Source organism: Homo sapiens, chromosome 8 (assembly GCF_000001405.40).
Source record: "Homo sapiens chromosome 8, GRCh38.p14 Primary Assembly".
NCBI lineage: Eukaryota > Metazoa > Chordata > Mammalia > Primates > Hominidae > Homo > Homo sapiens.
In genome coordinates this window covers 132505818-132521094 of record NC_000008.11, presented here as the reverse complement: position 1 = coordinate 132521094, position 15277 = coordinate 132505818, and the positions used below count along the sequence as shown (strand labels likewise).

The window sequence follows — 15277 nt, the reverse complement described above, 5'->3', positions numbered from 1 at the left end:
AACAATGCTGAGGTGGATGATTTGTCTACCAGGGCTTCAAATACTGCATTAAAAATTAAATTTGCATTGCATATTCATTTTATGGTATGTTTTGCATCCAAGACAATGCTGGCAATATCTTGAAAATCATTGTTAACATTAAACTAGAATTTCAGCATATTCTAGCTGGAAAGCAATGGGTCTCTGGGAGATGTTACAAATAATTTCAGAAGGCACTTTTACCAAAGTGAATAACTTCAGAGTTGAAGAAAATTTAAAGACCTTCTGTTCCTTCTTCCTATGTGAAAAAATGAGGAAACTGAAGCCAGAAAGGGTCAAGGTCCATGTAATATCGTTTAAGTGCTGTCTGACTCAGTTTTGAGACCATGGCTAAGAGCCTGTCAGTTCCCCTTCCTAAGTAGCTAATTAAGCTGACTCCCCCAGTCATCTCCCTCATCAGCCTCTCACAGTGCAACCACTATACACCCACACTAATCACCCTGGGGCTAGGTACCAGACAACCAGGGAAAACCCTGATGGCCTTAACCCTGCTGAAATTATTCAAATTTTCCAATTCTAAACTGGCTTACCCTACCTCACCCATTTCCTTCCCCCAGAAACCAAATAAAGGTGCTTCCCCACATTTCCCTTTCTCCCTCTGCCTCATGCCCAACACTGACTTCTCCAGTGGCCCTGTGTGGCATCCTGTGTCTTCCCCAAGGAGCTGTGAGTATAACAAAACTGTGAAACTCTTTTCCATTTTTCTCTTCGGGTTTGCATCTGGCCTCGCCATATCTCACCAAAGGTGATATGGTTCAGTCTCATGGTAAACTGAGGCCAGAACTCAAACTCTGATGTAGATTAACTGAACCAGAACACAGATCACCTGTCTTGTGACCCAAGGATACTTCCACCACCTTAAGATGCAAGTTATATCATTTCTTCCTTAAATATACTCTTTAAAAATTGGCTTCATTGAGCTTATCCTTCTCTCTCTAGATGCCACTTGACCTCCTAGGTAAGAAGGTAAACATATTCTCTAAAACAAGTTGCTCAAAAATGAGGATGAATGCCAATGCCCATATTTTGGAAGGGACTTCAGCCTATCCAGCGAGAGCTGTAAAATTTGACAACACTTGCTTTCAGAAAGGCCTACTTAGGGGCCAATTTGAATAGCTTCTGATGCAGGATTGAACTGCTCCCTGTTTCATTCAGCTCCTGAGTAGAGTTGAAGAATGACCAACCACCTGTCTCCATAAGCGTTTTATTTTCTCTTCCTGAAGACTGCCTGACATGATGCATGCTTCACCTTAGTTGACATCTAAAGTTCAGGGCCATGTGACACTTGAGTGGCCTATGCAAATGGATTTTTAAGAAAAAAGTCTTAAATAAATGTCAGTGACAGATACATGGACAATTGAATTACTAAATACAATTTCCTCTTTCTTAATGGGCACGACCCTTATATATTTGTTAAATAATGCATCTCTTAGTGACAAACTAAATCACACGCACAAATCTTATTGTTGCTAATAGCTTATGTCTCTTCTTTGTTTTGTGAAATAATGTTATATTAAAGGTGAATGCTTAGAATCCAAGAACCGGTCTACAAGTATCTTAGCCTGTATGAGCTTCTAACAAAATACTGTATACTGGGTGGCTTATAAACAATAGACATATATTTCTCACAGCTCTGGAGGGTGGAAAGTCCAAAATCCAGGCACTGGTACATTTTGTGTCTGCTGACTGCCTGTTTTCTGGTTCATAAATGATGTCTCCTCACTGTATCCAAACTTGGCAGAAGGGCAAGGCATCTCTCTGGGGCCTCTTTTTTTTTTTTGAGCTGGAGTCTCACTCTGTTGCCCAGGCTGGAGTGCAGTGGCGCAAACTCGGCTCTCTGCAAGCTCCACCTCCTGGGTTCATGCCATTCTCCTGTCTCAGCCTCCAGAGTAGCTGGGGCTACAGGCGCCCGCCACCATGCCCGGCTAATTTTTGTATTTTTAGTAGAAACGGGGTTTCACCGTGTTAGCCAGGGTGGTCTCAATCTCCTGACCTCATGATCCACCTGCCTCGGCCTCCCAAAGTGCTGGGATTATAGGCATGAGCCACTGTGTCTGGGGCCTCTTTTATAAGGGCACTAATCCTATTCTTGAGGACTCCACACTCACCATCTTATCACCTCCCAAAGGCCCTGCCTCTTAGCATTATCACCTTAGGGGTGAGTTTTCAACATACAAATTTGAGGCAGGACATAAACATTCAAACCACAGCAGGGAAGAATGTAAATGTCATCTGATTTCTCCCACCTTGTGTGAATGAGAATATTTTAAGAATGAGAAGTCACCTTTCAGGGTCAGAAAATTTCACAAACTCCTGCATAACATTAGTTTGATTTTTAGTATTCATTGATTGAGACATTATGCTACTACAAACTCAGTAATCGTTTTAAGTGAAATTTTATCTTATGAATCACAACAGCATTTATAGTACATTTAACAATATGTATTTGTAAGAAAGGTGGAGGAGGATGAAGTCCATGGATTCAGAGACTCTGCAATTACTCTAACAACACTTCCTTTCTGTTGACACTCCACCTCCAGACTCACACACCCCATGTTGGTGTTCTAAAACATTTCTGCCAGTTCTGATTTCTGCTTGTATACTACCCATGTTGGGCAGCTCACTAGTTCATACAGCAGCCCATTATATCTTTGAGTTATTTTTCCTAATATTGAAATTTCTCCCTATATATAGCTGGACTGTGTCTCTCTGGAATCTCTAGGTTTTCATCTTATGGGCCCACTGAAGGCAATTATAATCATCTTTCACATGTCAGCCCCTCATAAGGTGGCTCTCATGCTTTCCACCCCCATTTAGGACCAGAATATAGTGGACACAGAAGGGGCTTCTGTGAGAGAAAAATGAGAGCATAAAAGCACTAGGGGTTGTACAACAGAGGATTTTGCTGTGGATCCATCTTTGGAAGTACCAGACAATTGCTATCACGGGAATGAAGGAACAGAAGCCAGGAGCCCAAGGTAACCATTAAGAAGCAGAAATATGACAACCCCAAAGCTGACTGGGCCCTAGAAATTGCAGGCCGATATGAGATTATTGTAATGAAGAATTTGTTAACCTAGTGGCAAAAGGTGGCGTAAGGCAGGTTCAAGTAAATCTCTGAACTATTATGTGAACATAATGGAAAAAGCAATAACATAAAAATCACCAGGTCTAAAAGAAATTTATTATTGAGGACCTCCTTATGAAATCTCAAAATGTTCTTATTCATGTTTTCACTAATATAATCCCATTTATATAAAATTACACCTACGCAGGTGTGGCTAGTACATAGCTCCCTTAGCTATGAGTGGAAGATCAAAGGGAAGATACTACCCTGGACATTTTTATTTCCTTCCTTCCACTCTTCCTCTGACGTTTTTGTAGCTTCCCCTTTTTGTAGTTCCATGAAAGCTTCCAGACCACTCAGTAACAGGGTGCTAGAAACAACCTATTATGGGATTCGGATATTTGTTGGAGACTTGGGGGTGGGTCTAAAGAAGCAGAGATTTTCTCTAGGTTGGCTGCTCTCAGAAAGTGGGGTAATTATATTATTGAACATCTCAATAAACCTTGTCTATAGGAAGGGCGGACTGGAAAGAATAAAGATGTGATTGATTGATGGATTGATTAAGAAGTAGCAGTCATTCATTTTAGGCAAGAGAGAAGACATGATATTTTGTGGTTGGCAGAGCTACCTTGTTTTTGTCTGTGCTCAGACAAAATTATGAAGTGTTCTTGTTTTGTCTCACTTTCTCATGGTCTCAGAGTAACCTTGTCTGATTCTGGTATTCAATGAGATTGTTTATGTCCAACAGGGAATGACATGCCTAACTGTGAGTGCCCGGTTGGCTTCTAGATGGCAGGGGCTGCTTGTTTTTCCTAATACTAGACAATGGAGATTTAACAATAAGTCCTTGAGTGAGAGGAGCTCACGGCCTGCAGAGAAGCAAACATTTACAATACCAGGTGAGGATCACAATAATGGAGATGCTATATCTAGAGAGAGGAGGGCTTATTAGGAGCAGAGAGAAGCATCAGATAAAGCTTCACAAAAAAAGAGTGTATTTGATCTGGGAGAATGATGAGCATGTGAGTGTGTGTGTGTGTGTGTGTGTGTGTGTGTGTGTGAAAGGAAATCCTTTATGTGCGTGGCAGTGTATATGTTCCAAATTAAAAATTCAATTCAAGCCCAAGCAACTTTGCAACTACAGACGTTTTCTTCCTTTTCTTTCCTGGAAGAAAATTAGCCTTTCTATTTTCATCATTGAAATCGCCATTTGTCATTCTCAAGGTGCCTCGGTGCCTTTGTCTCTGCTGTCAGCTGGCAGCAACAATGCTAAAAATAGCTGGCAGAGGGAACCGCTACATGCTGAACATTAAAAATAGAAAGGGAAGCACTGGTGTGAATAATGCATGGGAGAGAATCCCGTTCACGTTGGCCTTCATGTCCTCTGGGGGCCTGGCTGCTGGGCACAGCCCTGCAGGATGAGGGAGGATTAAGGCATTTTTGTTACTCACACTGCAATGAAAGGGCAGCTCACAAATTACAGCTTCCCCCTCGGCTTGCAGTGGCCAGGGAGGGATAGGAAGAAATGGAGGCAGGACTAGCGTTCTGCAAGACAAATCAAGAGTCTAATTTGGAGATACAAACTCAAACGTGTTGTCACTGGGAGCCAAGACAAAGGAGAAAGCAGGCCTGTGACACATCAGGAGGGCACACCCTTTCTAAAAGCACTTGGATTCCCTGTCTTTTGTAATTCACACTCTAGGCAACCAGAGCTACTCTGCAAGGAGGACTTTACTCATAAATCATCAGAGTATAATCTCTGTAAAATCCAGAGCTGCTCAAAGTTGAGACCCATATTACACTAGCTGGAGCAGAACTCTCCCCACAGCCATAAACACTGTAGGCTCTTCTTCACTATTGCTGAATAACTGAATTTCCCTTTACACTGATTTATTCCTCATGACCAGATGTGTTATTCCTGCAAGTCCTAGATTGTCAGAGCTGAAGCAACTCAGGGATTGATAGGTAAATTAAAAGGTGCTGAGGTCCAGGGAGGGGAAGGAAATTGTCTGAGTTCACACAGCACTCCAGCCTCAGAGGCAGGGTTGACTGCCTTGACTTTGCCTTCCCCAGCAGTCTGCTGCTGAGTCACCTCTCCAAATCCTTGGTGGAATAGTGATCTTGTTCCCAAATGCAGACTCCATCTGCACATCCAAGCCTTGAGGCAGGTTGAATTAATCTTGTCTGAAACGGGGCACACTTCTGGCTTGGTGTGCAGTCCCTTCTTCACCATGAAGTGTGAAGCCCAAACAGGCCATGGGCTCCTGACACTGCCCCTGGAGTAATGGGTAGGTCTCCGCTGCAGCTATCTAGGGATGGAGGGTATCCTAGTACTGCTTCTAGTATCGAATTAAGTGTTCCTAGCTCTCCTGAGAGAAAAATAACTCTGATACTGAAGAAATTGTCCTCTTTCCTCAAGGCAGGTAGGGGTCTCATCCTGAACCCAAGCCTGGCACCTTTGCCTAATGGGTGAGAACACAACTTTGAAATCAAGCTTGGCTCAAATCCGGTTCTGTCGTTTACCACCATCTTTTCAACTTTGGGCAGTATACCTGGTATCTCCAGGCTCGTTTCTTGCTTCTGAAGCTGGGCCAATAATACTGATCCACCGGGGCTGCTATAAATACGAGACCACTAATAAGAAACGCTGACCACAGTGACCACACACAACGGAAACTCAAAAAACGTGAGTCCCTTCCCCTTCCCAGAAGACCCTTTCTTTCTGTCTGCAGGCTCCGGATTTCTCTACTAGGTCTGAATCCCAGGTCTGTAACACACTTTCTCCGTAGCCTTTAAGAAGCTGGGAACCTCAGGGCATCCACTCGTTTGCCTGTACACGAAGATTATCAAACCTCCCATGCTGGCCGCCTGGAAGGTTAGTGAGATAATGTAGGCATATTCAAGATTAGACAATTATTAAATAAAAATTTCCCCAAACTGACTCTCTGCTGATGAATTTATCATATATTCTATGTGAAAAAAAGCAAGCGCTCAGTTTCAGTCCTACTTTCTCCTTGACTATATAAGCACTCAATCTTCCTCCTGATAATTAAAGCAAGGAAAAAAACGAAGCCGAGGAATGAGCAACATTTTAAATATCTTGAACATGGTTATGATTATAGAACAAAATATGGATTTGCTCACTCAGTAAGCTAGTCCCTGCTTGGTAGGCAAGAGGGCACCTCCTTGAAGCTTGAAAGGGGGGAATTTGGAAGGAATACAGACAGTCCTACTGTTTCTGTTAGGATTGTGTTAAGGTGTTAAGCCGTGAGCAATAGCTAATCCTACCATAGTGACTTATGCGAAAAGTCCAGCAGTAGGTACAACTCAAAGATGTCATCAAGAGACCAGGTTCCTTCCCTCTAGCTGTTCTTCTCTATTTAATATTTATTTAAATATTTAATTTATGTTTTAGTTCTTGTTATCTAGTGTATTATAGACCATTGGGATATCTCACACTTTAAGGAGCCAGCCCAGCTTTGGTAAAAAGAACAATTTCCATCCAATCCAGTGCTCAAAAGATGTTCATGTCCAGATCCCAGAAGACTGTGAATATATTAGATTATATGACAGAAAGACCTTGAAGATTTGATTAGGTCAATAATCTTGAGATAAGGATATTATTCTGGATTGCCTAGATGGACCCAATGTAATCACCAGGTCCTTATAAGAGGATGCCAGGTGGGTCAGAGTCAGAGAGAAGATGTCACAAAGGAAAGAGAGATTGGAGTGATGTGGGGCCAACAAGCCAAGTAAGGGGGATAGCCTCTAAGAGCTGAAAAAGGCAAAGAAACTGATTTTCACCTTATTTGTTTCTTATGACTTTCATAATAAAGTATCACAAAGTGCACCGGGTGCGGTGGCTCATGCCTGTAATTCCAGCACTTTGGGAGGTCAAGGCAGGTCAAGAGTTCGAGACCAGCCTGGCCAACATGGTGAGACCCCGTCCTACTAAAAATATAAAAATTAACCACATGTGATGGTGGGCACCTGTAGTCCCAGCTACTCGGGAGGCTGAGGTGGGAGAACTGCCTGAACCCAGGAGGCAAAGGTTGCAGTGAACCAAGACCACACCACTGCACTCCAGCCTGGGTGACAGAGTGAGACTCCATCTCAGAAACAAAAACAACAACAACAACAACAACAACAAAGTGGTTTAACACAGTAATTTATTCTCTTCCAATATGGGAGCCTGGAAGCCCAAAATCAAGGATGTCATTAGGGTAGTACTCCCTTCAAAGAGTCTGAAGAAGGGTTCTTCCTTGCCTCTTCCTAGCTTCTGGTGCTTGGTGGAAATCCCTGGCATTCCTGGGCTTGCAGCTGCATCAGTCCAGTTTCTACCTCCATCTTCTCATAACTGTCTTCTCTGTCTGTGTCTCTGTGTCTGTTCTCCGTTTATAAGGACATCAGTCATTGGATTTAGGTCCCACTCCAACCCAATATGACTCAATATGACCTCATCTTAATTTAATTGATTATATCTGCAGAGAACTTTTTCCCGTATAAGGCCATATATTTTGGTTCTGGATGGACATGCATTTTTTCCCAGGTTGGGGAATGCTGCTCAGCCTAGTGCACTCCCCTACAGCCTCCAGAAGAAATGCAGCCCTGTAGTTTTGGACTTCTGACTTCCAGAACTGTGAGATAATAAATTTGTGTTGTTTTAAGCAACTAAATGTGTAGTAATTTGTTACAGCAGCAAGAGGAAACTAACAACCCAGCCAACTAGTAAGAATAGCTGGAGGAGTTCTTGTCAAAACATGGAGTTGATGACTTTGCAAGTGCTTCTACATCAGTGACTTGGAGAAAACTGTCAAAGCCCAAGAGCACCTCTTTAAAGGCTTAGAATATGTGCCCTAACCAGGCGGAGCAAGCCACAAAATATCAGAGAGAGAGAAAACTTCAGATATATTAGTAAAAACGAGCTAGCAACTCAGTGAATCTTTCCACAGTTTGTGTGTTTATGTGTATGGGTGGGTGTGTAGAGGTGTGTATATGCATATGTGCATACATGTGCATCTCAGCTATTCTCTCCAGTTTTGAAAAATGGAAGATGACCTAACATCCTTTCCTCACTCATACTGTACCTGAAAGGGAAGGTTAACTGGAGTCATATACAGTGAGAGAAGGATCAATAAATCAGCCCCAAAGTATCAGAGCAAATAGAACATCTGTACAGAACTGTTCAGGCAGGAGACAGATGGAAATAAATGGTGCAATGACTAAGCAAATATAGTACAGAAGAAATAAATACACTGGAAAAATGAACACAGCATGCAGAAGTAAGACAAAGATCCCAACCTATAAGAAAGCATTAGACATAGAGGAGAAGGAAATGTGTCATAATTGCTAGGATACCTAAACAGGAATATTATTTTAAAATGAAAAAGCCAAACAAGAATTCATAAAACAACAGAATGAAATAAACAGAGGTAGGCTTAGTGTCCCAGTTGAAACTAGAAAGTAATCAGCTAGGATTTTGAAGAAAATTTAAGGAAGAGTCCATTTACAGAGGCCAGCTCTGGGTGAAGGGTACCATTGAAAGATGTCGAAGAACCCAGTACCATTGACAGTAAGCCTGGTGGTAACCCTTCACCTGTAAGGGCATGGAGAGGAACCAGTGTTAGTGGAATCATGGGGGAAGTGATTTCCAACAGGGACTTAGTCACGGAAGGATGCAACCACTGCTAGAATCACAGCACCAGTCAGGGAGGGAGTGGGAGAAACAATTCTTGACCACTCTTTACTCTATTTTCTGATCTCTTCCTAGTGTCTCCCATTGGCTGAATCCAACCAGAAGAGACAGGGAAAAGCACGTAGGGTAAAGCAGTCCTTAGGGCCAGCCTCTAAAGGTACAGACGAGAGTAAAAAAAGAAAATGCATAAATGTGGAAGGGGCAAATGGAGAACAGCTAGCACACAGGTATACTGGCCCTGTTTATGCAACACTTGAGGCCCTCTGGGTCTCTCCAGGAGGCTCCTTGCTCATGGCATCCTTGGTTGCAAATCTCCTGCGGCCACAGTCTCATGTCATAACACTGCCTTCTATCAACTTAGTTTTAACCAGGCCTATCCTAGAGGAAACTAAAGCTGCTCCACCACCCTGGCCCAAGCCAACCAGACCCATCCTGATTATGGCTTCCCTGGTGGATGCCTGTGGAAGTCAATAAAAACTAAATGCTTAAGTGTGTTAATGTGTTAATGCCCCTATGGGATGAATTTTAACCAGAAACATGAGATGAGAAGAAGTAAGAGATAAGATGAGAAGAAGTCTGCAAATATATATATATCACTTGTTCTTCTCCTGCTTGATGCAGTAATTCCATACAACCTCCCCAGGGAAATCGCTCATGACCAAGTCACCAACTGTATTTTCTTGAGAAGCTAAAGTCAGCTTGCATTTACTTTCTTTTCTCTCCTGCCTCTCTCTTGCTCTCCTCAAATTACACGCATTTAATTAAGCTTGGCCTCAGTCTTTACTTTTAAGGGAACCCATGCTACAATAATTGGTTTAAGAAGTGATATAAGAAAACAGACCTTCCAGATAAAGTATTGGAGGTAAATTTCCCATGAGTCTGGAGGCAAGACAAACTCTATTGCTTATGGTAAGTGCAGTAATAACCTTTCACCGTAATCACCATTTCTAAAGTTTCACTTACATTTAATTGGAATGAAGTGCCAGTGGAATGCAAAACTTGAGAGATCAAATGGTAGCTGCATTTGACCAGTGATATAGTTTGGCTGCATCCTTCCCCAAATCTCATCTTGAATTGTAACTTCCATAACTCCTGTGTATTGTGGGATGGACCTGGTGGGAGTATGGAGGTGGTTTCTCCCATACTATTCTCATGGTAGTGAATAAGTCTCACGAGATCTGATGATTTTATAAGGGAGTTCCCCTTTCCCTTGGCTCTCATTCACTCTTGCCTGCTGCCATGTAAGACATCCCTTTGCTCTTCTTTCATCTTCTGCCATAACTGTGAGACCTCCCTAGTCATGTGGAACTGTAAGTCCATTAAATCTCTTTTCTTTATAAATTACTCAGTCTTTGGTCCATCTTTATTAGCAGCGTGAGAACAGACTAATACAGTAAATTGGTACCAGTAGAGTGGGGTGCTGCTATACACATACCCAAAAATGTGGAAGTGACTTTGGAACTGGGTAACACGTAGAGATTGGAACAGTTCAGAGGGTTCAGAAGACAGGAAGATGTGGGAAAGTTTGGAACTTCCCAGAAACTTGTTGAATGGCTTTGATCAAAATGCCGATAATGACATGGACAATGAAATCCAGGCTGAGGTGGTCTCAGATGGAGATGAGGAACTTGTTGAGAACTGGAGTAAAGGTGACTCTTGCTATGTTTTAGCAAAGAGACTGGAGGCATTTTGCCCCTACCCTAGAGATCTGTGGAACTTTGAACTTGAGGGAGATGATTTGGAGTATCTGGCAGAAGAAATTTCTAAGCAGCAAAGCATTCAAGAGGTGACTTGGGTGCTATTGAAAGTATTCAGTTTCAAAAGGGAAACAGAGCATAAAAGTTAGGAAAATTTGCAGCATTATGATGCAATAGAAAAGAAAAACCCATTTTCTGAGGGAAATTTAAGCCAGCTGCAGAAATTTGCATAAGTAAGGAAGAGCCAAATGTTAGTCACCAAGACAATGGGGAAAATGTGGATCTGTGAGAAGAGGGCCACAGTCCTCCAGACCCCAGAATGATAAATCCACCAACAGCTTGTGCCTTGCACCTAGAAAAGCCACAGACACTCAATGCCAGTCTGTGGAAGCAGCCAAGAGGGAGGCTATACCCTGCAATGCCACAGGGGTGGAGCTGCCCAAGACCATGGGAACCCACCTCTTGCATCAGCATGACCTGGATGTGAGACATGGAGTCAAAGGAGATCATTTCGGAGCTTTAAGATTGTACTGCCCTGCTAGATTTCGAACTTGCATAGGGCCTGTAGTCCTTTCATTTTTGGCCAATTTCTCCCCTTTGGAATGAGTGTATTTACCCAATGCCTGTACCCCTATTGTATCTAGGAAGTAACCAATTCACTTTTCATTTTACAGGCTCATAGGTGGAAAGGACTTACCTTGTCTTAGATGAGACTTTGGACTATGGACTTTTGAGTTAATGCTGAAATTAGTTAAGACTTTCAGGGAATGTTGGAAAGACATGATTGGTTTTGAAATGTGAGGACATGAGATTTTGGAGGGAATGAGGGTGGAATGATATGGTTTGACTGTGTCCCCACCCAAATCTCATCTTGGATTGTAGCTTCCATAATTCCCACATGTTGTGAGAGGGACCCAGTGGGAGATAATTGAATCTTGGGGGTGGTTTGCCCCATAGTGTTCTCATGGTAGTGAATAAGTCTCATGAAATCTGATGATTTTATGAAGGGTTTCCCCTTTTACTTGGTTCTCATTCTCTCTTGCCTGCTGCCATGTAAGATGTGTCTTTTGCCTTCCACCATGACTGTGAGGCCTCCCTAGCCACGTGGTACTGTGAGTCCAGTAAACCTCTTTTTCTATACAAATTACCCAGTCTCAGGTATGTCTTTATCAGCAGCATAAAAATGGACTAATACAACCAGTTTGTGAGTAATGATAATTATGAAGAGTGTGGTATGGAGTGACCACTTTTGATGGCACTTAAGGCTTTAAAAATGAAAAAAAAAAAAAAGATCAAAATTGCCAACTTAAAGTTTCTATGAAAGTCAGATTGGTCTCTGATAGTTTGGCTATTTGACCCTCCAAATCTCATGTTGAAATTTGGCACCCAATGTTGGAGGTGGGGCCTGTTGGGAGGTGTTTGAATCATGGGGATGTATCCCTCATGAATGACTTGGTGCCATTCTCCCAGGAGTGAGTGTGTTCTCACTGACTCTTAGTTCTTGCACGAACTGGTGAAGACTGGCACCTCATCCTCTCTCTTTCCTCTTTGTTATCATGTGATCTCTGTATGGTGGCTCCCCTTCCCCTTCCACCATGAGTAGAAGCAGTATGAAGCCTTCACCAGAAGCTATGCAGATGCTGACACTATGCCTCTTGTACAGCCTGCAGAACCATGAGCCAAATAAGCCTCTTTTCTGTATAAATGACCTAGCCTTAAGTATTTCTTTTTAGCAACATAAATGGACTAAGTCTCCCTGGCAGTTTTAAAGGATAATTTCATCTCCTGCTGTCACAGGGCAGACTTTGCTGAAAACAAAGCCCAGGATCTGATTGTTTAAAAAGACATAGTTTCAAAGGAAACTATATATAATCTTGACAGGTCTCTTATATTAAAGTCTGGGCCATGATAGGTAAAGAGTAAGACTATGAGACCTAGGATAGGGATATTTGGATAGATGAGCTTGAGAATCTTAAAATCTCAAATTCTCCTAAAACCCTCTGACTGACAAAGAAGCCTCTTTTCCCTTAAAAGAGAAACAGTCTCCTCTTATAAGGACATAGTATTAATATAAAGAAGACCTTACTTGAAGCTCTTGCAAGGGTGCCTCTCAAGATGTGAGTTGTTCTCAAAGTCAGCCTCCTTCATTACCTTCCGGCTAATAAGCAGGGTCAGTGTGATGCTTAATGTTGAGTGTCAACTTGATTGGATTGAAGGATGCAAACTATTGTTCCTGGGGTGTCTGTGAGGTTGTTCCCAAAGTAGATTTACATTTGAGTCAGTGGACTGGGAAAGGCAGACCCACCCTCAATCTGGGTGGGCACCATCTAATCAGCTGCCAGTGCGGCCAGAATAAATGCAGGCCGACTAACACGGAAAGACGAGACTGGCTTGTTCTTCTGGCCTACACCTTTCTTCCAGGCTGGATGCTTCCTGCCCATGAACATCGGACTCCAAGTTCTTCCACTTTGGGATTCTTGGCCTTCTACCACAGACTGAAGGCTGCACTGCTGGCTTCCCTACTTTTGAGGTTTTTGGACTCGGATTGGCTTCGTTGCTCCTCAGCTTGAGGTCAGCCTATTGTGGGACCTTACCTTGTGATCGTGTGAGTCAATACTCCTTAATAAACTCCCCTTTATATATACATCTATCCTATTCTGTCTCTCTAGAGAACCCTTACTAATACAGTCAGTTTTTACCTCAGCCCAAACCAGGAAGTGCAAGACTTGCTTTGGAAATAAAGAGACTTTGTACTAAAGGAACTGAAGATTTTCCTTGTGTCATGATGAGTCAGGTCTGTCATTAACCTTCCCTGGTTCACTGGTCACCCATTTCTTGCCAACAAAGTTTTCCAGCACTTTTAAGTGAGAGGATACATTATGAACACCCACTTATATTTTGTTTTGGCTTAATTGTAAAGATATGTTAATTCTTTATGACTCAATTTTTAAAATAGGAAACTGAAAGAGTTGTAGTTATAGGAGGCGAACTAGGAAGTTTCATTTTTTTTTTTTTTTGTTTGAGATGGAGTCTCGCTCTGCCACCCAGGCTGAAGTGTAGTGGCATGATCTTGGCTTACTGCAAGCTCTGCTTCCCAGGTTCACGCCATTCTCCTGCCTCAGCCTCCCAAGTAGCTGGGACTGCAGGCACCTGCCACCACACCCGTCTAATTTATTTATTTTTTGTATTTTTAGTAGAGATGGGATTTCACCATGTTAGCCAGGATGGTCTCAATCTCCTGACCTCGTGGTCTGCCCGCCTCAGCCTCCCAAAGTGCTGGGATTTGGAAGCTTCATTTTTAAAGCTAGTTAACAGGAAGGTTTATCTAATTTTCACCAATTAGTCAGTTATACCTACACACATTTCTTTATTCAAACAGACAATTGATCATAAATTAAAAGTAAATCGACTGTACATAACACCTACAGCAGGAAAACCCCATATAACACTATTTTAAACAGGGTAGCTCCTTTCTCTCACACATAAAAGATGTCAGGAGGAGGCAAATCTGGACTATAATGGAAGCTTCACACTTTCTTCTGGGAGCCAACTGCTTATCTGATCTGCCATCATCAGTGGATGATTTCCATCCTCAAGATGGATCATAATAGAAGAAGTCTGTGGAAGTTCAGCATCAAGTCCCCATTTTGAGCAGGCTGCCAAAGCATCTGTAAAAGACAAAGTGGTGCTCCTCCCCACTGGGTCGGCTCCTTGAAACAGCTTTCCCTGTAACCCTTTTACCTACATCTCCTTGGCCCAGTGTTAGTCTCATGGTTTCATCTAGCTGCAGGGGAAACTGAGAAGTGTTGCTTGTTAGCTGGGTGCATTGCCACAGTGAATAAAATTGAGGTTCTGTAGCTGAGAAAAAGGGAAGATGTGCATATTGGGGGGTGATGAACAGTCTCTGTCCCAAGTAAGACAGTCTTAACTTGTTCAACAAATGCCAACTACTCTGTAAAGGGTGAGGTAAAAGGTGTTTAGAAAATGAAGACAAGGTCAGGTGCAGTGGCTCGTGTCTGTAATCCCAGCATTTTGGGAGGCCGAGGTGGGCAGATCACCTGAGGGTGGGAGTTCAAGACCAGCCTGACCAACATGGAGAAACCCCGTCTCACCTAAAAATACAAAATTAGCTGGGCATGGTGGCACATGCCTGTAACCCCAGCTACTTGGGAGGCTGAAGCAGAAGAATCTCTTAGACCTGGGAGGCAGACGTTGTGGTGAGTTGAGATCATGCCATTGCACTCCAGCCTGGGCAACAAGAACAAAACTCTGTCTCAAAAATAAAAAAAAAAAAAGGAAAATGAAGACAAGCGAGACACAGATATTCAGGGACTCACAGTGTGGTGGGAGAGCTGGCTATGAAATAAATGAGTTTATGAGAGAATGACTGCTGCCCTCATGACAGTGTTGACAGTTTATGTCAAAGAGGCCCTTGTCAACTGGGCCTAGGGTTTGGTGGAGACAGGTTTTCCTCAGGCAAACTGGAAAGGTAGTGCAAATGAAAACAAAAGACAAGAGGTGGCACCCATCTCTGCACACTTCTGTTCCTGCAACTCCTGGAGTTTTTGTTCCATGAACCCAGAAATTCCCCTTTTTGCTTAAGCCAGTTGAGGTAGTTTCTGCAATTGCAATAAGAGTTTTGAATGATATAGTCATCATGCAGAACAGGCCTTGTAAAAAAAATAAAAACAATCTATGCATCAGGTAACACCATTAGCAAAAAAAAAATGTAGGGTGATCAACTCTTCTGGTTTGCGCAACTGTCCCCATTTTAGCACT

The 15277-nt window shown here is 42.7% G+C and overlaps 1 long non-coding RNA gene across 1 annotated transcript; it reads left to right on the top strand.

The window, feature by feature from the left end:
* Positions 1 to 5525: 5525 nt before the first annotated feature.
* On the top strand, positions 5526 to 13260 carry LOC124902028 (uncharacterized). The gene is made up of 2 exons (XR_007061116.1): positions 5526 to 5792; positions 12920 to 13260. It is a non-coding gene; the product is annotated as an uncharacterized LOC124902028 (long non-coding RNA).
* Positions 13261 to 15277: the final 2017 nt, after the last annotated feature.